General features: G+C 47.8%; 1 protein-coding gene and 3 non-coding genes across 6 annotated transcripts in view, besides 2 other annotated features; 1 reads left to right on the top strand and 3 right to left on the bottom strand.

Annotated features, from left to right (window-relative positions):
• TRRAP (transformation/transcription domain associated protein) overlaps positions 1-14,393 on the bottom strand; it is a 134,710-nt gene extending 120,317 nt beyond the window's left edge. For all 3 annotated transcript variants that reach the window (NM_001375524.1, NM_001244580.2, NM_003496.4), the window contains exons 1-5: positions 14,288-14,393; positions 11,675-11,835; positions 10,901-10,950; positions 2,480-2,590; positions 397-501 (exon numbers count right to left, since the gene is read on the bottom strand). In NM_001375524.1, the coding sequence (NP_001362453.1) occupies positions 397-501; positions 2,480-2,590; positions 10,901-10,950; positions 11,675-11,774 (366 nt within the window). In that variant the 5' untranslated portion in view covers positions 11,775-11,835; positions 14,288-14,393. The remainder of the gene's footprint in view (positions 1-396; positions 502-2,479; positions 2,591-10,900; positions 10,951-11,674; positions 11,836-14,287) is intronic.
• On the top strand, positions 7,835-7,935 carry LOC124901832 (small nucleolar RNA U13). The gene has a single exon (XR_007060668.1). It is a non-coding gene; the product is annotated as a small nucleolar RNA U13 (small nucleolar RNA).
• SCARNA28 (small Cajal body-specific RNA 28) lies at positions 11,035-11,228 on the bottom strand. The gene has a single exon (NR_132754.1).
• On the bottom strand, positions 11,196-11,275 carry MIR3609 (microRNA 3609). The gene has a single exon (NR_037403.1). It is a non-coding gene; the product is annotated as a microRNA 3609 (primary transcript).
• Positions 13,734-14,003: a silencer, noted in NCBI's record as "silent region_18399". NCBI's record gives its function as "represses an Ori minimal core promoter by ATAC-STARR-seq in GM12878 lymphoblastoid cells {active_cell/tissue: GM12878}" and the evidence as "EXISTENCE:reporter gene assay evidence [ECO:0000049][PMID:35858748]".
• Positions 14,134-14,593: a silencer, noted in NCBI's record as "silent region_18398". NCBI's record gives its function as "represses an Ori minimal core promoter by ATAC-STARR-seq in GM12878 lymphoblastoid cells {active_cell/tissue: GM12878}" and the evidence as "EXISTENCE:reporter gene assay evidence [ECO:0000049][PMID:35858748]".

Below are 22,799 nucleotides of genomic sequence, written 5' to 3'. Positions count from 1 at the left end.
GTACCAGATGGATTCACCCCAAGGATGTGAGATACTCTTTATGAGCATGTACTAGGTGTGATGCGCCACACTGGAGATACACACGGAAAGAACAATGCAAGTGAGCCACTCACTGGGCGTCTGCGGGCCCGCACCCGGCTCACCATCCGCAACTGTTTCAAAGGTACCTACTATGTCTGGCCAATTCCTCAGTAACTCAAACAATGATTTTCAATTAAGTAATCTTTCTGAGTGGAGGAAATGGGGGAAAAGGGACATTAAGAAAAATTTTTACTCATGTGACTTGGAATTTGGGAGAAAGATAAAACAGTTGTATAATGCTGAAATTTACCATAAGAAAAATCAGTGAAAGTTTTACATACGGCTATACGACAAGAATTAATTCTCAAAACTTACCTCTAAAAAGCGAAACATCACAGACAAAACATTTTTTGTGTGAGGACGAAGATGTTCGTTGGTTGGTATTCTATGAATTATTTCAAGTACGAGCTTCCGCAGTTGCTGGCAAGAAAAAATAAATAAATGTAAGGATAAAAATACTTCCAAGGGTTCCAAATTAATTATCTCACACTCTGCAAGTGTCACACAGCTGTTTACACCCAGCACTAGGAATGAACCACCATCCTACAAAATGGACCCAGTTTTTCAAGCAGTCCTAGAAACTACTTAAATGTAACCCAAAGTAAGTACTGCAGATGATCATTTTCAGTATTTCTACAACTCTGTACCAAATCGACTAAGCCAATTTCTCCCCTTCCACGGCTTATCAGTAAGTCCAACGGACACTGGTGTACGAACATGGAGTTCATTGAAGATAAAAAGAGCAAAACACAAACTGAACATAGTTTGGGATCTCCCCTTACCATCTCGCATTAGCTCCCATAATGCTATCGCCAACTACCTTGGGCCCAAGGACTAGTTATATCATGAGCTGTACTAAGCTTCTGTGATTCTGTCTGTGGAGCTGACAACTAAAAGGTCAAATATGTAAGGTCTCACACTGGCATGATATAAAAATACTTTATTTACTAATAAGCTGGTATTATGGGAACGTTTTTTAAAAGTTATTTTTAAGAGCTACATGCTGGGCCGGGCGCGGTGGCTCACGCCTGTAATCCCAGCACTTTGGGAGGACGAGGTGGGCAGATCACGAGGTCAGGAGATCGAGACCATCCTGGCTAACATGGTGAAACCCTGTCTCTACTAAAAAAAATACAAAAAATTAGCTGGGTGTGGTGGCAGGCGCCTGTAGTCCCAGCTACTCGGGAGGCTGAGGCAGGAGAATGGTGTGAACCCGGGAGGCGGAGCTCGCAGTGAGCCGAGACTGCGCCACTGCACTTCAGCCTGGGAAACAGAGCGAGACTCCATCTCAAAAAAAAAAAAAAAAAGAGCTACATGCTGAAATATTTATAGAAAAAGTGGTAGGCCGGGCGCAGTGGCTCACGCCTGTAGTCTCGGCACTTTGGGAGGCCGAGGTGGGCGGATCACCTGAGGTCAGGAGTTCACGACCAGCCTGGCCAACATGGTCTCTATTAAAGTACAAAAACTAGCTGGGCATGGTGGCATGCACCTGTAATCCCAGCTGCTTGGGAGGCTGAGGCAGGAGAATTGTTTGAACCTGGGAGGCAGAGGTTGCAGTGAGCTGAGTTCGTGCCACTGCACTCCAGCCTGGGTGACAGAGCGAGACTCCGTCTCCCAAAAAAAAAAAAAAAAAAAAAAAATATATATATATGGACTATTTCTAAATGATCAAGGTAGGGAGGTATGAACAGTGTGTTGGGGGCGTGTCGATAAAACAAAATTGACCATAGCTATAAGAACTGACACTAGGCTAGGCGTAGTGGCTCACACCTGTAATACCAGAATTTTGGGAAGCTGAGGAAGGAGGATCTATTGAGCTCAAGAGTTCAAGACCAGCCTGGGCAACACAGCAAGACCCCCATTCTCTACAGAAAATTTTTTAAAAATTAGCCAGGCATTGTGGCGCACACCAGTAGTCCCAGCTACTGGGGAGACTGAGGTGGGAAGATCACCTGATCCCAAGAAGTCAAGGCTGCAGTGAGCTACGATTGGCACCACTGCACTCCAGACTGGGTGACAGAGTGAGACCTTGTCTTTTAAAAAAAAAAAAAAAAAAAAAAAAGAACTGACATTAATAAGACAGTAAGATTGGAGCTAGGCAATAGGTATGGGGGGTAGTCATTCCTTCTTCTGTATACATTTGCACTGGTCTATAGTAAACAGTGTACACACATGTCATCAGTTGGCAAATGTGAATAATTTAAATTGTAAAAGGGACGTCCTAGACAAAAATCAAACCAAGACATGTAACTGAGGAGGCAGCGGTCTTGAACAAAGTTATCCTTATGTGACAAAACCTCTTTCGTTTTTAAGTGGAACCGTAAGTTTTCTGAGTTAATTCGTAACTGGTCACAATCCCACAGCACCCTTGTCTTCTCATGTTATTTTTTTACATTACCTGTGCTGGTTTCTCCTGAAGAAACTGAACTTCTCCATCTTGGAGAAATGTAAGGAATCGAGGGATGATATGTTCTAGGAATGTAGAATACTGAGGAGATGACGTGACATTCTAATTGTGCAAAAATAAAAGACCCCATTCAGTTATGTGTATGTATTTTCATTTCAAATTTACACATTATAATAACTGCAAAGGAATATAAAACATTTTAGCCAAAAGCAAATTTGTGCTACTTGTATTATTTAGTAATAACATAATTTTAAATTAGGATGATTGTATTTCTGAAATCCAATTCAGGAAAACTAAATGCTAACTTTTCCTATTAAAATTAGAAATACCAATCCTTTGGGAAATGCTGAACCTGGAACCTGTACTAGCTTGTCTCTGCCACGATCTAAGTATGAAACCTCTATGAAGTTATTTAGCTTCTAGGTCTCAGTTTCTTGATCTGGAAAACAAAGAGCCTGAGCAAACCAATGTATTAGTTAGATGTATATTCATTATGTGCTAATTAGATGTATACTAATTATATTATAATCTAATCTAATCCATTATTGATCCTAGTACTGATTTTAAAAGTAGAATAGGAAGGGCTGGGCACTGTAGCTCATGCCGGTAATCCCACCACTTTGGGAGGCCGAGGCAGGAGGATCCCTTGAGCCCAGAAGTTCAAGACCAGCCTGGGCAACAGAGCAAGACTCCATCTCTACAAAAAATTTTTTTTAAAAAGCTGGGCATTGTGGCACGTGCCTATGCTGTGGTCTTAGCTACTCAGAGGGCTGAAGTAAAAGGATCACTTCAGACTGGGAGTTCAAGGCAGCAGTGAGCTATGATGATGCCACTGCACACCAGCCTAGGCAACAGCATGAGATCCTGTCTCTATTTTTTTTAAAAAAAAAAAAAAAAAGGAGAATAGGAAATAAAACTACAGCATGAAGATACTAGGGCAGTTTCTGGGTCCCACTTAGGAAGTAGAAACTTTGGACAGTTACCTAAACTCTGGGGATATTATTTCCCGCCTTCCTTATAGGACTATTGTGAAGACTGCATGAGTTAATATATGCAAAGTTTATGAAGTTTCTAACACTGCCTACAGGAAATGCTCGGAAGTGTTGTGTTGTTATTTACAGAGCACTTACATGTCAAATACTGTGCTGTGTACCTTTTAGTCTTTCTCATTTAGTCTGAGATGGGTATTATCTCTAAGATAGGTATTATCTCCATTTCACAGATAAGGAAAGAGGATCTAAGAGGTTAAGTTTTGAAAATGGGCACACTAGCTGGTCTGTAGTACCAGCTACTCAGGAGGCTGAAGTGGGAGGATCACTGGAGCCCAGGAATTCGAGGCCAGCCTGGGCAATATAGCAAGACCTCATATCAAAAAAAAAAAAAAAAAAAAAGTAAAGTTTTGGAAGTGGATTCAAATCAAGTATATCTAACACCCAAATCCTTTTTCTTGTTTAATGCTTCACTTATTCATTCAACAAATATTTTCTAAACTCCTATCATGTGCTCAAAAGGGATAAAATAATGAACAGAACACATAATATTCATGCCCTCAGAGATGGGGGAGGCAGCAGCAGAAGGAAGACAGATATCAAACAAAAAGACTAAGGATACAGAACCATGAGGGGGGATATGCCAACAACTAAGGGAACATATAACTGTGAGACATCATTTACTAAATGTAACCAAGGGCGGAGGACACCTTCCTGAAGTGACATTTACACTAAAACTTGAAAGGCAAGTAGGAGCTACCCATGAAAAGGTAGAAAAGAAGATTCTAAGAAAAGCACATGCAAAGGCACAAAATCAAGAGAAAGCACGAGTGTAAAAGGCATATCAACAGAGTTCAGCATGATGGAGAAGGAAGCATAAGAGAAAGGAGTTCAACTTTTAAGTTTTTTTTGAGACGGAGTCTCACTCTGTCGCCCAGGCTGGAGTGCAATGGCGTGATCTTGGCTCACTGCAAACTCTGCCTCCAGGATCCAAGTGATTCTCCTGCCTCAGCCTCTCGAGTAGCTGGGACTACAGGCATAAGCCACCACGCCTGGCTAACTTTTTTTTTTTAAGTGGAGATAGGGTTTCACCATGTTGGTCAGGCTGGTCTTGAATTCCTGATCTCAGGTGATCCACCTGCTTTGGCCTCCCAAAGTGCTGGAATTACAGGCATGAGCCGCCACATCTGGACTGGAGTTCAACTTTTTTTTTTTTTTGAGATGGAGTCTCGCTCTGTCACCCAGGCTGGAGTGCAGTGGCGTGATCTCGGCTCACTGCAAGCTCTGCCTCCTAGGTTCACGCCATTCTCCTGCCTCAGCCTCCCAAGTAGCTGGGACTACAGGCGCCCGCCACCAGGCCCGGCTAATTTTTTGTATTTTTGGTAGAGACGGGGTTTCACCGTGTTAGCCAAGATGGTCTCGATCTCCTGACCTCGTGATCTGCTGCCTCAGCCTCCCAAAGTGTTGGGATTACAGGCGGGAGCCACCGCACCTGTCCTGGAGTTCAACTTTTACTATCAGGAGTCTGACAAGCTGGTGAGACCAGACACCTGGGCAGTTAAATATGGGGCTAAAGAGAAAGATCTGGAGTTGTCTATAACATAATGTAACTTCAGAAGAGGGGTCTATAAAGGAAGGACAGTGAAACAGTCAAAAATCAGAAAGCAGTATGGAACAAGGAAAGAAAACCATTGCAGTTTTTTTTTTTTTTTTTTTTTGAGACGGAGTTTCACTCTTGTCACCAGGCTGGAGTGCAATGGTACAATCTCGGCTCACTGCAACCTCCGCCTCCAGGTTCAAGTGATTCTCCTGCCTCAGCCTCCAGAGTAGCTGGGATTACAGAGCCCACCACCACGACCAGCTAACACACCTGAGCACCTGTCTCCTGGGCCAACTCGGTGCAGATTTCTGGGGCCTCCACTCACACAGAACACTGTATGGGAGGCGGCCCCAGGAGCTGTGCAGGAATCAAATAGCTTCTCTCCAAGCAGACAGTGCATTTGTGGGGCAGAAGAACTGTGTTTGGCACCTTTCACCCTTAAAGGTTAAGACTTTTTATGAAACACCCACAACCAAGGATTCAAGGAAAAGAGGGAGAAGATTCATGCTGCAACACTGAACTAACTGCCAGGTTATCAAGAAGTCAAACATATTTGCATGTAAGTCCATATTAACTACTGATTATACAGCTTTCAAATATCTGCATTTCAAATGTCTCTAGTAGGGCTGGGCACAGTGACTCACACCTGTAATCCTAGCACTTTATTTAGGAAGACAAGGTGGGACTATTGCTTGGGCCCAGGAGTTCAAGACCAGCTGGGGCAACATAACAAGACCATGTCTAAAAAAAAGAGAATTTCTCCAGTTAAAAAGATTCACTCAAGCTGAGCATGGTGGTGCATGCCTGTAGTCCCTGCTACTTGGGGGCCGAAGCAGGAAGATCATTTGAGCCCAGGAGTTCAATGCTGTGGTGTGCTATGATGGCGCCTGTGAATAGGTACTATACTCCATAGCAAGACGTTGTCTCTAAAAAAATTTTTTATAATTAAAAGAAGATTCATTCAACAAGCTGCCTGGTTATTCTGCAACTATCTCAACTCAGCCACCAGTTTTTTGATCCAGATAAATTGTTCATGTGATTCCTAACCTGAGGGTTTATTTTGTCTTGAAAGATGGCCCATTTAATAATGAATCTGTAAGACTCCTGAAATCACTGGGAGTTTTTAAATTTCACTCACTTCATTTAAACATTTTTCTGGGTGGTAGTAATTTAGAGAACTGCTTCTTGATGGTCATTCTAGTATTTAATTCTTTGAAGAATTCAGTCATCTGAATTTCATTTAAGGTAAATGTTGATACACAGATTGCAAAAGTCATTACTTGGAAAAGCCCTAACTATACTGCTATATACTATCTCTCTAGATATCTATATCTCTCTAGATATCCATATCTCTCTAGATATCTATATCTATCTCTATCTCTCTAGATATCTATATCTATCTAGATATCTATATCTCTCTAGATATCCATATCTCTCTAGATATCTATATCTATCTCTATCTCTCTAGATATCTATATCTATCTCTATCTATATAGATATCTATATCTATCTATATCTATCTCTATCTATATAGATATCTATATCTATGATAGATAGATATAGATATAGATATATTGTTGCCCAGGCTGGAGTGCAATGGCATGATCTCCGCTCACTGCAACCTCTATCTCCCAGGTTCAAGTGATTCTCTGCCTCAGCCTTCCCAGTAGCTGGGACTACAGGCCAGGCATGTGCCACCATGCTCGGCTAGATTTTTGTATTTGGAGTAGAGACAGAGTTTCACCATGTTGGCCAGGTTGGTCTCGAACTCCTGGCCTCAAGTGATCCACCCGCCTCGGCCTCCCAAAGTTCTGGGATTACAGGCGTCAGCCACCACACCCAGACTTGCCCCACTAACTTTTAGTTGCTGATCAATGCATCTGAGACCAAAAGCCAGGAAGGAGGTAACCTGCTAATTGCAAATACTAAAAAGGAGAATAAAGTCTCAAAACCTCAAAAGGGTCAGATATTTACAGATATTTAATCCAGATAGCCGTATGTCCACACTTGGTGCCCTGACTCACTGGCTTGTTCCTGCAGGTTCACAGACTGCCTATGATTTCAGCCTCTCCAACAAACCTGCCAAGACTATGGTTCTCTCAGATCAGTTCTTCCAATAAAATGCAGAATGCAGGGTATACTCTTCTGCCTCTCACCTCTTCATATATATATATATATATTTTAAACAGCTTGTTTTAGCAGCTTGAGCAGAAGAGAAAGCTCTTTAGCTAGATCTCTAAATATCTCAAGTTTTTTTTCTAGCTCAGCTCAAGGCAACAAGTCCTTGAAAATGTCTATTAAAAAAAAGCTAAAATACTATCCATTGCTACAGATAGTAGGGTATTTGATTCAACCCCACTAACATGTATTTAATGTTTATTAATACAAAAGACCTTACGGAAGCTAGGGAATATTTTCCCTATTGTTCTTAAGACTATTATCCTCATATTAAAAAAAAGAAATGTTGGCTGGGCACAGCGGGTTACACCTGTAATACCAGCACCTTGGGAAGCCAAAGCAGGAGGATCGCTTGAGCCCAGAGTTCAACCAGACTGGGTAACATAGCAAGACCCTGTCTCTAAAAAAAAAAAAATTAGCCAAGCATAGTGTCTTGCATCTGTAGTCCCAGCTACTCAGGAGGACCACTTGAGCCCAGGAGTTCAAGGCTGCAGTGAGCTGTGACTGCACCACTGTACAGCAAGACCCTATCTCTTAAAATTTTTTTTAATCTAATAAACAATAAAAATCGGAAACGTGATCCTTTTGTAGTTTGTAAGGGTGATGATTGGGGTTTCATGCTTATATGTGAGACATGCCTCCCTCAAACCTTGTTATGTCAGCACATTACCCATCTGATGTGAAAAAAATAAGTAACAAATGTGACTTTCTCATCTGTCTATGAGACTAACTGGTACCCAGGTAAACCAAAAAGTTGTGCAAAATACGAGATAACTTTTTTCAGGTGTTGGATTAGGGCCAGTACCGGAGCATGACTCCCAGGAGAAGGGAAATTTACATGCTTAGCCCCATGACCACCATGGCCCTCTGCCTAGGTACAATTTTCCAACTGGGGTTCAGCAAGCTGGGTCCAAGCAGGGGTCAGGGCCTGCTGAGCTGAGGAGTAAAATCCTCAGTGTTCAGGAGAGCTAAAGTGGCTGGAATCTGCAGGGCACAGCACCAGAGAAAAGCAAACCACAGAGCAAGGGAATGGGGAGTGTCTCCAGTGAGGACAGCTGAGGGCTGGACTGCACACACACAGGGTGACACTGCCTGAAGCTCACCACAATGTACCTGCTTTAAGACTGAGAGATGCGGCTGGGCATGGTGGCTCACGTTTGTAATCCTAGCACTTTGGGAGGCTGAGGTGGGTGGATCGCTTAAGGTCAGGAGTTCCTGACCAGCCTGGGCAACAAGGCGAAACCCCATCTCTACTAAAAATACAAAAATTAGTGGGGCATGGTGGTGCACACCTGTGGTCCCAGCTACTCCAGAGGCTGAGGTGGGCCCAGGAAGTTGAGACTGCAGTGAGCTGTGACCACACCACTGTACTCCAGCCTGGGTGACAGAGGGAGACCCTATCTTAAAAACAAACAAACAAAAAAAACAAAAAGATTGCAAGATGAATGAAGATACCATACATCTAGCAATGTTAGAGGATGCTGGATTTCAAGCCTAGCCAGCGTGCAAAGACCTACTTAACATCTTAATAACCTCCCAGACCTCACGCATCCAGCTAGACCATGTCCTAGAATAAGGCCTATTCTAGACCAACTGCAACAAAGCCTAAAATCAACCTCTGATGAGATCCACAGGCAGAATTTGAGGTTGAATCCCACCAAGGAAAGACCCTGGGCTATCCACAGATCCTCCCCAAAGCATAAAACCAAGCCTACGCAAATTCAGTGGCATCAGCTGGTAACTGAACTGCCTACTACGACAAAACGTCGACATTCTTCCGAGGGAGATAATAGGATCTAGAGTCCCTATGATGTCTCACAAGTAATGTCCACTGTACAGTAAAAAAATTACTAGACGGTTGGGCACAGTGGCTCACATCCATAATCCCAGCACTTTGGGAGGCCGAGGTGGGTGGATCCTTTGAGTCCAGGAGTTTGAGACCAGCCTGGGCAACATGGTGAAACTGCATCTCTACAAAATATACAAAAATTAGCCAGGCGTGGTAGTGCATGCCTGTAGTCCCAGCTACTTAACAGGCTGAGTGGGAGGCTCACCTGAGCCCAAGAGGTTGAGGATGCTGTGAGCTGAAATTGTACCACTGCACTCCAGCCTGGATGACAGTAAGACCTTGTCTCCAAATATATAAATTACTAGACAAAGAAACAGGATAACATGGCCCACAGCCAATAGAAATTGACCTTCATATATCCCAAATGTTGGCTTTAATACTAGAAGACTTTAAAGCAGCCCTCATACAGTAAATATGTTCAAAACATAAGAGAAGAATATGGTCTTAATAAACAAAGATGGGGAATCTGCAGATAAATGAAATGTATGAAGAACCAAATGGAAATTCTAGAACTGAAACCACAATAACTAAAATTTAAAAAAATACAAAAAATAAACTGAAATTCTAAGAAAAACCCAGCAAGTTGCAGATAATAAAAAAATTCTCAGAAGATCAGAAATTATCCAATCTAAAGGACAAAAAGAAAAAAGACTGAAGAAAAATGAAAAGTGTCTGAGGGACATGCAGGACAATATACAATTGTAGGATGTGAGGTCCACAATAGAGAAAGTTCTTGCTTGATCAAGGTCACAGATGTTCTAATTAGCAGAACCAGAAATGACATCCAGATCTCATTGCATAAGAATACACCATCAAATTACCTGAACATAACAAATTCACAACATAAATCTGAGTGCATCTCGGCCGGGCACAGTGGCCCATGCCTGTAATCCCAGCACTATGGGAGGCCAAGGCAGGAGGATCACCTGAAGTAAGGAGTTCAAGGCCAGCCTGGCCAACATGGTGAAACCCGGTCTCTACTAAAAATGCAAAAATCAGCCGGGTGTGGTGCACACCTGTAATCCCAACTACTTGGGAGGCTACGGCAGGAGAATCGCTTGAATCCGGGAGGTGGAGGTTGCAGTGAGCCAAGATCACGCCACTGCACTCTAGCCTGGGTGACACAGCCAGACTCTGCCTCAAAAAAGACAATAAACAGGCCAGGTGAGGTGGCTCACGCCTGTAATGCTATCACCTTGAGAGGCTGAGGCAGGTAGATCACCTGAGGTCAGGAGTTCAAGGCCAGCCTGACCAACATGGTGAAACCCCGTCTCTACTAAAAATACAAAAATTACCCAGGCATGGTAGCAGGCACCTATAGTCTCAGCTACCCTGAAGGCTGAGTCAGGAGAATTGCTTGAACCCGGAAGGCAGAGGTTACAGTGAGCCAAGATGACGCCACTGCACCCCAGCCTGGGCGACAAGAGCGAAACTCCATCTCAAAAAAAAAAAAAAAAGAAAGAAAAGAAAGAAAGAAAAGTACAAGAATAAATCTGAGTGCATCCCAACAGGCATGGTAGCCTAAAAGAGCTACCATATTTTAAAATGAAAAAATGTTTTTAAACCAACCAAAACAAAACTGACAATCCTCAACATGGTATGGGGTTCGCTATCACCAGCGTGAAGATGGAAAACGCTGTGTACAAAGTTTCAGATTTCAGTTTCGAAATATACTAAATTACTTGAACAAAGACAATGATCTTTGAGTTGCTAGTAAAAAGACTGACAAAGCAGGACAGGAAAGTGAATAAGAATATTTACCTCAAAATGAAAAATAGAAAATATAATGCTCATACCTCAAAATTTTCACTAACTTCTTGCATCATTTTCAACTTTGTTTCATCAGCTGTGAACGGCAAAACAAGCATCAGGTAATTGAAATTATGTTAAGGAAATTATGTTAATGCAAAACTTGGATTTAGTAATTTAAGAGAAGCAATCAGATCTTATCAGTTTGACTGTCATGGCCTAATAGAAGGCACATAGCTAGTTCCCTACAACCAGTCGCACCCATTTGTACTCCCAGACATACACGTGCATGCACTGACAAGCATATACACACACACACAAACACACACACGTGCCTCTTTGGGGCTCCAGCCAGTATTACTCATCACTTTGCTTCTCTACAAGGTAGAGAAAAGGAAAATGAGAATAAAAGTTACTGTTACGATTAATCTCAAAGTACACAACATCTGAGCTGAGATAAATGTGTCATATTTATGCATTTCTCTTTTTTTTTTTTTTTTGAGAGGGAGTCTCGCTCTGTCACCCAGGCTGGAGTGCAGTGGTGCGATCTCAGCTCACTGCAACCTCTGCCTCCTGGGTTCAAGCGATCCTCCTGCCTCAGCCTCCCAAGTAGCTGGGACTACAGGCGTGAGCCACCACACCTGGCTAATTTTTGTATTTTAGTAGAGACGTGGTTTCACCATGTTGGCCAGGCTAGTCCCAAACTCCTGACATCAGGTGATCCACCCGCCTCGGCCTCCCAAAGTGCTGGGATTACAGACGTGAGCCACCGCATCCGGCCTTATTTATGCATTTCTTAATGATAAAAAGGATCAACTCACGTGTATTCACATCTGTGAGAGCTGCCACAAACTGAAGGTACTTTTTCATCAAAGTGGTCTGGTCAACCACCGTGGCCCCCTGTGTTGCAACAAACGCCATTTTTCTTTTGGGCTGGTTTGCTTCTCAAGAGAAAAGTATCAGGTCCATGAGTTCAACCAGCCTATGAAAAGAAGCATAGAGTTAGTCAATTTATGGAGGGCACAGGATCACAATCTCTGTGAAAATCTTACCTAAAGGCCTACATAATCGATACGCTTTCATCTTAATCCAGAATCTAACACTATTCCTTCTGGTTTTTTTAATATGAAGTTTACCCAACTCCAATTTTGTCTATTAATTTTGAAACATGATTTTTGTATGCAGATACTGTTCCTTCCTACGGTATTTTCTCTTTCTCTGAGTCAGGGGTTGGCAAACATTTTCTGTAAAGAGCCACATAGTAGATATTTTAATCTTTGTGGCCACGCAGTCTGTCACAACTACTCAGCGCTGCTATAACCAGAAAGCAGTCACAGACAGACAACATGTAAATAAATGAGGCTGTGTTCCAATAAAACTTTATTTATGGACACTGAAATCTGAATTTCATATAACTCTCATTTACCATGAAATATCCTTCCTCTTTTCCCCAGCCATTTAAAAATATAAAACCATTCTTAGCTCATGGGCGGTATAAAATCATGCAGCAGGCCAGGCGCAGTGGCTCACGCCTGGAATCCCAGCACTTTGGAAGGCGAAGGCAGGGAGATCACGAGGTCAGGAGTTCCAGACCAGCGTAGCCAACATGATGAAACCCCATCTCTACTAAAAATACAAAAATTAGCCAGGCGTGGTAGTGGGCACCTGTAATCCCAGCTACTCAGGAGGCTGAAGCAGGAGAATCACTTGAACCCAGGAGGTGGAGATTGCAGTGAGCCAAGATTGTGCCACTGCACTCCATCCTGGGCAATAGAGCAAGGTTCAGTCTCGGAAAAAAAAAAAAAAAAACAACAACAACAACAAAACGCAGGCAGCAGGCTGGATTGGGGCAACCTTGGTCGTACGTGTGACTGGTTTCCAAACTTCAGCGGACATCAAAATCCCCAAGTGCCAAAGGTGGGCTCCCAAGCAGCACCCCTCCAGACTGTGGTTACGTGACGGGCACGGGAAACTATAAATTCTGTTTGTAGCTGCCAGGCAGCAGGCACTCAGTGGCTGCTCCCAGCTGACACACAGATGGAGACTTGGTTTCTATTTTAACAGGTGTCACAAAGTATCCCGAGAAGCTGGTGAAATAAGTTGCTTTCACCCCTCCTCCTTGCATAATCCTGCTCTGCACTAACAGGTGGTTTCATGGCTTCGTTTTCTTTCAACAGACACACCAGGACCTCCTTTGCAGGCCTACCGGATACACTGCTTTGCAGCTGACACAGGTGACACTAGAGAGCTCCTTCCGGCCACTCTCTCCTAGACACCAAAAACCCTTCTTCCATGCAGAGAGCATGCCCACAGGTGTCCCACAACAAGCCCACCAGAAGCCCCAGCCCTCTGGCTCCGGGTAGGAAAAGCCAAGAAGGAAACCAAGGCGGGGGAGTTTGTCAAGCCCTGCTAGGGGACCTGGCAACTGCCTGTTTCAGGTGACACCCCCTTCCCCATCTCCATCGGCCCAAGGCATGGGGGTCACGGACTCTCCCTGCCCATCCCCATCCGAGGGGACCCAGGACTCGGGATCACGGTCTCTCCCTATCCATCCCCATCCGAGGGGACCCAAGACTCGGGGTTACGGTCTCTCCTTGCCCATCCCCATCCCAGGGTACCCAAGACTCGGAAGTCACGGCCTCTCCCTGCCCATCCCCATCCCAGGGGACCCAAGACTCGGGGTCACGGCCTCTCCCTGCCTAAGAACCTCCCTAGTCCTGTCCAAACTTCCCCCTTCCCACGGAAGTCGTCAACTCTTCCATTTCCCGGGGTCCCGCGGAGCCTGGGGGGCCCTGGCCGGGGGGAAACGCCCCCATTCTGCGTGTCTGAGGAAAAGCAACTTCACCACCCCGGACGCCGAAGGCCCAGGCCGGGCTGGCGCCGGGCCTGCTCCTACTCCTGGGGACAAACTGCCCCGCCGCCCCCAGACCCCGCCAAGCCCGGCCTGAGGCGGCGCCGCCGGGCCAGAGGGGGCGCTGTGGTCGCCGCTACCTTCGCTCCCCGCGCCGGGCCTAACGAGTCCAGTGCCGGCGTAGAGGCCCGGAGGTGCCAGGTTGGCCGGGGGGCGCCTCCGGAGGGACAGGCCCCCAACGTCCCACCCGACCTCTCAGCTCACAAACGGCCCTCCGGTTCCCTCCTTTGGTCGCCGTCCCGGGCGCTCCGTGACCGCGTCCCAGGCCGAGCTACGGCGAGCGCCGAGCGCCAATTCCCGCGCCCGCGAGCGCTGCGCCTCCCACAGCTTCCTCTCAGCTCGGCCGCAAACGCCATCGGCCCCGCAGCCCCAGGTGGGCTCTGGCTGGGGCCTAGGGGATCCCGGGGCGCTCGGAGCCCCCAGCTCCATCCCTCCGCGGAGCCGCCGCGCCGCAGAGGCCTCCCCGCGCCTGAGGGCCGCGCGCACCTCCCGGGGCCGTTCGGACGCCCGCCCGCCAACTTACCCCGACCTCGGCGGCCCGGCTCCTGCAGGCCCGGCCCGCGACCCCGGCGACCCCCAGCCGAGCCCTCGTCGCAACCGCTCGGCCGCGCGCAGTCCCGCCCCCGCTTAAAGCGGCAGCACCCGCCGACCGAGCACCAGGCCCCGGCGCGCCGCCCCCAAGTGGGTGCGGCCTGCGCGGGCACGGGGAGGGGCGTCCGCCGTCCGGGTGGGTCCCGGCCCTTTAAATCCCCGACAGCCTTGACGGGGCCGGGCCGGCGCCCAGGTTCTAGGAGCTCCTTTTTCCCTGAGTCTCCTCCCAGGAGCCAGGCCTCGGGGAATGCCCGGGTACCCTGGGGGCGGTGGGCACCTGGGGGGGGGCGCGGCTTCCCGAGTTGGCAGCTATGGGGTCCAGGTATTGTCCACCACTGGACTGAAGGTGGCAGGCAGGGTAGGGTTTGCCACCCCCACTCCTCGCTCCCGGTCCCCGCTGCTCTCCTGGGGTTCTTCTCGGCCCGCAGAATGGAGAGGAGGCCAGGAGGGTCTTTGGGAAGGTGACGGCTGGAGATGGACCGAGACCCTGTTAGTAAAAGAAAGTCCGGGTGGGCTTTCTGGAAGTGGCCGCCCAGGTGCAGAAAGGCCCCATTGATTCTGCAGCTGCTTTACCTCCGAGGCTGGATCCACATGGCAGGCAGAGCTACCTCCATCAAAACTGGATGGAGAGAGGCCTCAGGCCAGGCCAGAGCAATGAAGGGATAGAGTGGGATGGAGCCAGGGGAGGTGGCATGGGCCGGACCAAAAGGTGTCTCCAAGGGAAAGGTACAGTCAGGCGCCATGGTTACCATGTTACAGGGACAGAGTGTGGAAGCATGACATGAACTTGGCCACCTCCAGGCCCTGGTTCCACCTCCTACACCTTCCTTCACCTACCCCCCACCCTCACCCCATTTATCACTAACCCACCAAGATCATTATGTTCCCTTCCTAGACACATTTCACACCCTGCAATAAATAAATGTTTCAGTGCCCGTGGATACCCTGGAGGGGAGGTGCTCTTTTCTGAAACAAGCTCCTTGCTCGTTTAATGTTGCCACTCGAGAACAAGGCCACAGCTGAAATGCTGGGATTGTGAATGGATGTTTTTAGTACCAGTTAATTCTGCCCCAGGAGAAACAAAATGGCTCAGAATAGCCCTTCCATCACGGAAGAGGTTGCCTGTTTGCAAGCAAAATCTGCTATTGTCTTACCTCCACTGCCCCCAAAAAAGTGGGAGGTCCAAGCCGGCTGTGGTGGCTCATGCCTGTAATCCCAGCATTTCAGGAGGCCAAGGTGGGAGGACTGTTTGAGTTCAGGAGTTCATGACCAGCCTGGGCAACATAGCGAGACCTCGTCTTAGCAAAAAATACAAAAATTAGTCGGGCTTAGTGGCAGGCATCTGTGGTCCCAGCTACTGGGGAGGCTGAGGTGGGAGCGAGACTTTGTCACAGAAGATAAAAAAAAATAAGAGGTCCAAAGTTGAAGACTGAAATATTTGAGGGCTGAAATTAGTGTGCTAAACGATTGTTTAATATTGTTTTTTGAGGGGAGTTAGGAAAACAGCTGTAGACGCTTTTTTAAAATAAGTTTTGGCTCAATTGCATATGATAAAGACCTACAGTCAAGCCTGGCCCTAACATTGGCAAAATCCCTGCACTTTCAGGTGGCCTAAGCGTCTTATCAAATTAGTCATCACACTTTCATGATTTTTGCCTGTTTTCTCATCTGTCTCCTGAATTAGAGGTGAGGGACAGTGTCAACTTCATCCTGATCAGGTAAATTAGATCACATTCACTCCTCTGCTTAAAATCCTTCAGGATTTTTGGAGATTTTTTCGGAATCCCAGCTATTCAGGAGGCTGAGGTGGGAGGATTGCTTCAGGCCAGGAATTCGAGACCAGCTTGGGCAACACAGCGAGACCCTCATCTCTAAAAAATATTTAAAAAATTAGCAGGGCATGGTGGCATGCACCTGAAGTCCCAGCTACTCGGGAGGCTAAGGCAGGAGGATCGCTTAAGCCCAGGAGTTCTACTCTGCAGTGAGCTATGATCATGCCACTGCACTCCAGCCTAGGCGACAGGGAGAGGCCCTATCTCTAAAAAACAAAGGAATAGGCCGGGCGCGGTGGCTCACACCTGTAATCCCAACACTTTGGGAGGCTGAGGCGGGCAGATCACTTGAGGCCAGGAGTTTGAGACCAGCCTAGCCAACATGGTGAAACCCTATCTCTACTAAAAATACAAAAATTAGCCAGGCGTGGTGGTAGGTACCTGTAATCCCAGCTATTTGGGAGGCTGAGGCAGGAGAATCGCTTGAACCCAGGAGGTGGAGGTTGCAGTGAGCCAAGATGGCACCACTGCACTCCAGCCTGGACGACAGAGCAAGACTCTATCTCAAAAAAAAAAAAAAAAAAAGGATATCCCCGAACTCATTTTGCTCCCTCCAAGCTACTCCAGGATTTAGCCCCAAATGCTTCTCCCAGGAGCTGATTCTGAGTCATTGTTACCTGCCCAGCGGCCCCCCACCTCCCATAGTTAATTTCCAATGCAGGACAACGAGGATGTGTGGTAGGGATACGGACCCTAGGGCTGCTGCCCTCGAATGACCAAAGATTTGATTATACCACCTTGCTAGGGCCAACAGACCAACTAACACTAACTTGCTTTAGAAAGAGTTTCATCAACAAGAATTGACACCAAAGAAGTGTGAACTTTTCATTACCCAGAAAAATTTAATTAACCAAAACAGGCCACCGTCCCTCCCCCACCGCCCCCCCAGAGCCAGGCGAATGAGGTCTGACTGTTCACAACATCTGATCTGTCCCCAGGTCCCAGACCCTTACCTGTGGCTACTGTTCTGGACGTTTGGCCCCAGGCATTGCCTGTTAAGGCTGCCCTCAGTGTCTGTTCTGACCGATGCTCACCTCGCCAGGGGAGAGAATGTCCCCTCTGTGCTGCCTTGTGATCATATGAGATGGTGTCTGTGAAAGCAGTCCAAGGTCAGTCCAGAGAAGGCACCGACAAATGGTTTCCAACACCGAGTCATGTTCAAGGCTTTGGGGGCGTTATCAAGGGGAGGCCTCATCTTATTCTTTCAGCCATTCCACAAGCATCTACTTTGCACCAAACTACATGCTAAGTACCAGACACGCAGACACATGGCATAGGCGAGGATGCTGGGAGGAGGGTCAAAGTCACCCCGGTAAGAGGTATTTGTGGCCCCTATAGGCTAGACTGGGAGAATTTGTGGGAAAAAAAAAATGACTCTTGAGGCCGAACACAGTGGCTTATGCCTGTAATCCCAGTACTTTGGGAGGCTGAGGCAGGAGGATCACTTGAGACTAGGAGCTCAAGACCAGCCTGGGCAACATAGTGAGACCCCCATCTCTACCAAAAATCTAAAAAATTAGCTGAGCTACTTGGGAGGCTGAGGTGGGAGGATCATTTGACCCTAAGAGTTAGAGGGTGCAGTGACCTGTGAGTCACAATTGTGTCACTGCACTTCACACTGGGCAACAGGGGGAGAACCTGTCTCAAAAAAAAAAAAAAAAAAAAAAAGGAGGATGACCAGGAAGACTCTTGGGATGGTCAGACGCATTTGTACCCAGGCAACTTAGTGCTGTGCTTTCCACTTCAGTAGCCACTAGCCCCATGTGCAGTGTGGCCCATCTGAATGGAGATGAAATCTCAGCGTAAAATGCACACGAGATGGTGAACCCTTACAACAACAACAACAACAACAACAAAAAGGCTAGAGTGCAGTGGCACGATCTTGGCTCACTGCAACCTATGCCCCTCAGGTTGAAGAGATTCCTGTACCTCAGCCTCCAGAGTAGCTGGGATTACAGCACCTGCCACTGGGGTTCCCCGTGTTGGCCAGGCTGGTCTCAAACTCTTGGCCTCCTCTGCCTCGGCCTCCCACAGTGTTGAGATTATAGGCGTGAGCCACTGCTCCCGGGTTATTGATCATTTTTACGTTGATTATGTGTTGAGATGATATTTTGAATATGTTGAGTTTTGTAACAGCATTAAAATTGATTTCACTTATTTCTTTTTCTTTTTTGAATTGTGGCTACTTGAAAATTTAAAATTACATACATGGCTCCAATTCTGTTTCTAGCCAAGAACATTAATTTAGGAAAGCCAAGCTGCACTTGGTGGTGCACACCTGTAATCCTTGCTACTCTGGAGGCCGAGGTGGGAGGATTGCTTGTGGTCAGGAGTCTGAGACTAACCTGGGCAACATATAAAGAGACCCCTCTCTGAAAGAAAAGAAAAGAAAAAATAAAAGAAAAGCTAGCTCTATGGACTGGGCACAGTGGCTCACGCCTGTAATCCTAGCACTTTGGGAGGCAGAGGCGGCAGATCACTTGAGGCCAGGAGTTCGAGGCCAGCCTGGCCAACATGGTGAAACCCCATCTCTACTAAGAAATACCAAAATTAGCTGGGCATGGTGGTGCATGCCTGTAATCCCAGCTACTCAGGAGGCTGAGGCAGGAGAGTCGCTTGAATCCAGGAGGCAGAGGTTGCAGTGAGCCAAGATCGTGCCACTGCACTCCAGCCTAGGCAACATTTTTGAGACTCCATCTCAAAAAATAAAAGGAAAAGAAAAAAATGAAAAGGAAACCTAGCCTTCTGAGAGGATTTCCTGCCCCTCCCTTATCAGATACTCCCTGGAAGAGTGAAGCTTCCCAGTCTGCTATGGGATGGAGCAGAGATGGGTACTGTGAGGGTGGTGGTGGTGGTGATGGGATAAGAGTAACGCCTATGGAAAATCCTGGCCGGGCGCGGTGGCTTATGCCTGTAATCCCAGCACTTTGAGAGGCCAAAGCGGGTGGGTCACCTGAGGTCTAGCGTTCGAGACCAGCTTGGCCAACGTGGCGAAACCCCATCTCTACTAAAAAAAAAAAAAAAAAAAAAAAAAAAAATACAAAAAATTAGCCAGGCGTGGTGGCGGGTGTGTGTAATCCCAGCTGCTTGGGAGTCTGAGGCAGAAGAATTGCTTGAACCTGGGAGCCAGAGGTTGCAGTGAGCCGAGATCACACCACTGCGCTGTAGCCTGGGTGACAGAGCAAGACTCCGTCAAAAAAAAAAAAAAAAAGGAAAGAAAATCCTGGGTGGCAAACAGGAATTAGCCAAAGGGCTGGCCGGGTGCGGTGGCTCACGCCTGTAATCCCAGCACTTTGGGAGGCAGAGGCGGGCGGATCACGAGGTCAGCGGATCGAGACCATCCTGGCTAACACGGTGAAACCCCGTTTCTACTAAAAATACAAAAAAATTAGCCAGGCGTGGTGGCAGGCGCCTGTAGTCCCAGCTACTTGGGAGGCTGAGGCAGGAGAATGTCGTGAACCCAGGAGGCGGAGCTTGCAGTGAGCCGAGATCGCACCACTGCACTCCAGCCTGGGTGACAGAGAGAGACTCCATCTCAAAAAAAAAAAAAAAGGAATTAGCCAAAGGGTGGCATCAGCATCAATTTCAGGGTGGCCTTGAAGGTGGCTTCTGTAACACTGTGGCTACTGTAAAATTATTACTCAGTGAAATAAAGTTACACATTTTAGAAACAATACATCTTATGCTATTTGATACATTTTTAAAAAGCAGGAACGACCTGGCCTTCCAATTATGTTAAACCGTCTTAAAGATTTGCAACTCTGCAAGCTTGACTGTTTTCTTCTCAAGTGCTTCAAAGTCCTGCTGAACAAGCCAATTCCTCCCAAGTCCTTCAGCAATTCCCATTTGACACCCAACACTGATTGAACCCTTTACTATGTCCTAAGCTGTGTTCTACGTGTTAATTCCTTTTATCCTTATAATAGTCTCATGGTGTTGGGACTATTATTATGCCCATTTTAAAGAAAAAGGGGGACTGACATGGTGGCTCATGCCTGTAGTCCCAGCTACTCTGGAGGCTGAAGCAGGAGGATCGCTTGAGCTCAGGAGTTTGAGACCAGTCTGAGCAACCTAGCAAGATCCCATCTCTGTAAAAAATAATTTTTAAAACATTAGCAGGGAGGAAAGTGACTTCTCCAAGGTCCTGTAACTCTCAGGGAGAACCCAAAGTCCCCTTGTTCCTAGGCCTGGTATTTATCACCACCGTGACAGTTGATGCCACTAGGGGGTGACATCCGTCTAGCACTTTTTTTTTTTTTTTTTTGAGATGGAGTCTCATTCTGTTTCCCAGGCTGGAGTGCAGTGGTGCAATCTCAGCTCACTCAAGCTCTGCCTCCTGGGTTCACACCATACTCCTGCCTCAGCCTCCCGAGTAGCTGGGACTACACGCCCGGCTAATTTTTTGTATTTTTTTTAAGTAGAGACGGGGTTTCACTGTGTTAGCCAGGATGGTCTCGATCTCCTGACCTCATGATCTGCCCGCTTTGGCCTCCCAAAGTGCTGGGATTACAGGCGTGAGCCACCGCAACCGACCCCCCCAACTTTTTTTTTTTTTTGAGACGGAGTCTTGCTCTGTTGCCCAGGCTGGAGTACAGTGGTGCAATCTTGGCTCACTGCAAACTCCGCCTCCAGGTTCAAGCAATTCTCCTTCCTCAGGCTCCCAAGTAGCTGGGATTACAGGCGCCTGCCACCGAGTCTGGCTAATTTGTGTATTTTTAGTAGAGACGGGGTTTCACCATCTTGGTTAGGCTGGTCTCGAACTCCTGACCTCGTGATCCACCCGCCTCGGCCTCCCAAAGCGCTGGGATTACAGGTGTGAGTCACCATGCCCTGCCCTGTCTAGCCCTTTTAACTTTTCATAGGGGCTCACTCAAATCTATTCTCCCTCCATTCCCTGAACATAGCAGTGGGGCCAGTGGGGCCCATTCTTAGGGAAGCTCACAGCTGTCCCAGAGCCAGGGGCCCTTTAGACCAGTAGTCCCCAACCTTTTTGGCACCAAAGACAATGTTTCCACGAATGAGGGGTTGGAGGGATGGTTTCGGGATGATTCAAGCGCATTACTTTTATTGTATACTTTATTTCTATTATGATTACATACTCACCATCATGTAGAATCAGTGGGAGCCCTGAGCTTGCTTTCTTGCAACTAGATGGTCCCATCTGGGGATGATGGGAAACAGTGACAGAACATCAGGCATTAGATTCTCATAAGGAGCACGCAACCTTGATCCCTCACGTGAGCAGTTCACAGTAGGGTTTGCGCTCCTATGAGAATCTAATGCCCTGCTGATCTGCCAGGAGGTGGAGCTCAGCGTGGCTCACAGGCCCTGCTCACCTCCTGCTGTGCAGCCAGTTCCTAACAGGCTATGGACTGGTACTGGCGGCCAGGGGCTTGGAGACCCCTGCTTTAGACGCCTTGATGTCAATGCACTGGGTGGTGCAGTGATGGTCCATCCGTGCTCCACGGGCCAGAGAGGAGGTCAAAGGCCCTCACTGTGTGGGAGGATCCCTCGCCCAGGTAGCCGTAGCAAAGCGGAAGCATAGCTGGGACCAGAACCCACCGGGCTTCCAGCGTTTAAGGCCAGCCAGGCCCCTCCAGCTTCTAGGAGAGCCCAGCCCTGCTCCTCTAAGGCAAATGGCAGTAACTGTGTAGGCTGGTCACCCCTCACCGCAGTAGCCTGACTCCCACAAGGCCCTCAGTGACAAAGAAGTTGCCCTGGGCCCAGATACGAGCAGGAGCCCCATCTTAACAGCAGCTGTGAGAGGGTAAACCGGGGGATGACATCAAGCCCACGGCAGGGGCCGGGTGCTCAGGCCCCTCTATCAAGAAGGGGCAAGAGGCTGGGCACAGTGGCTTACACCTGTAATCCCAACATTTTGGGAGGCTGAGGCGAGAGGATCACTTGAGGCCAGGAGTTTGAGACCAACCTGGCCAACATGGTGAAACCCCGTCTCTACTAAAAATACAAAAATTAGCCAGGCCTGGTGGCGGGCACCTGTAATCCCATCTTACTAGGGAGGCTGAGGCAGGAGAATCGCTTGAACCCGGGAGGCGGAGGTTGCAGTGAGCCGAGATCGCGCCATTCTGGGACAGAGCGAGACTCTGTCTCAAGATTAAAAAAAAAAAAAAAAGAAAAGAGGAAGCAGCAGCAGCAGCAGCAGCAAGAGGAATTTCGAGGCCTTTCGCCCAACGCCTGGCGCACCTTAAGCTCTCAACAGTTCTTGAATGAGGAGTAGCATCTCGGAGCCACGAGCGTGCAGAGAGAAGGCACCTGGAGGAGAGCCCCAAGGGACCTGCAGGCGGCTTGCAGCGCAGCGCACGCCCCTGGGGACGCTGAGTCAGAGCCGGCGGCATCGGATCCAGGGCGGGGAGGGGCTCGGGGGAAGGGAAAAATGCGGGTGCGGGGGGCGTGGTTTCGGGTAGTGGAGGGGAAGGATGCGGCCGGGGGTGGATTTGGGGTGGGGAGGGATGCGGGGAGGAGCCAGGGCGCAGGAAGGGAGCTCTGGAACCCCTAGAGGGGAAGCAAGCTGGGAGGGGCGATCGTGGACTCCAGGAGGGCAGGGGGCGCGGCCGTGGGAAGAGACCCGGAGAGGGAGGACGCGGCCGTGGA

Source organism: Homo sapiens, chromosome 7 (assembly GCF_000001405.40).
Source record: "Homo sapiens chromosome 7, GRCh38.p14 Primary Assembly".
Classification (NCBI taxonomy): domain Eukaryota; kingdom Metazoa; phylum Chordata; class Mammalia; order Primates; family Hominidae; genus Homo; species Homo sapiens.
The sequence above is the reverse complement of the archived record's forward strand: the minus strand, read 5'-3'. Positions and strand labels throughout refer to the sequence as shown.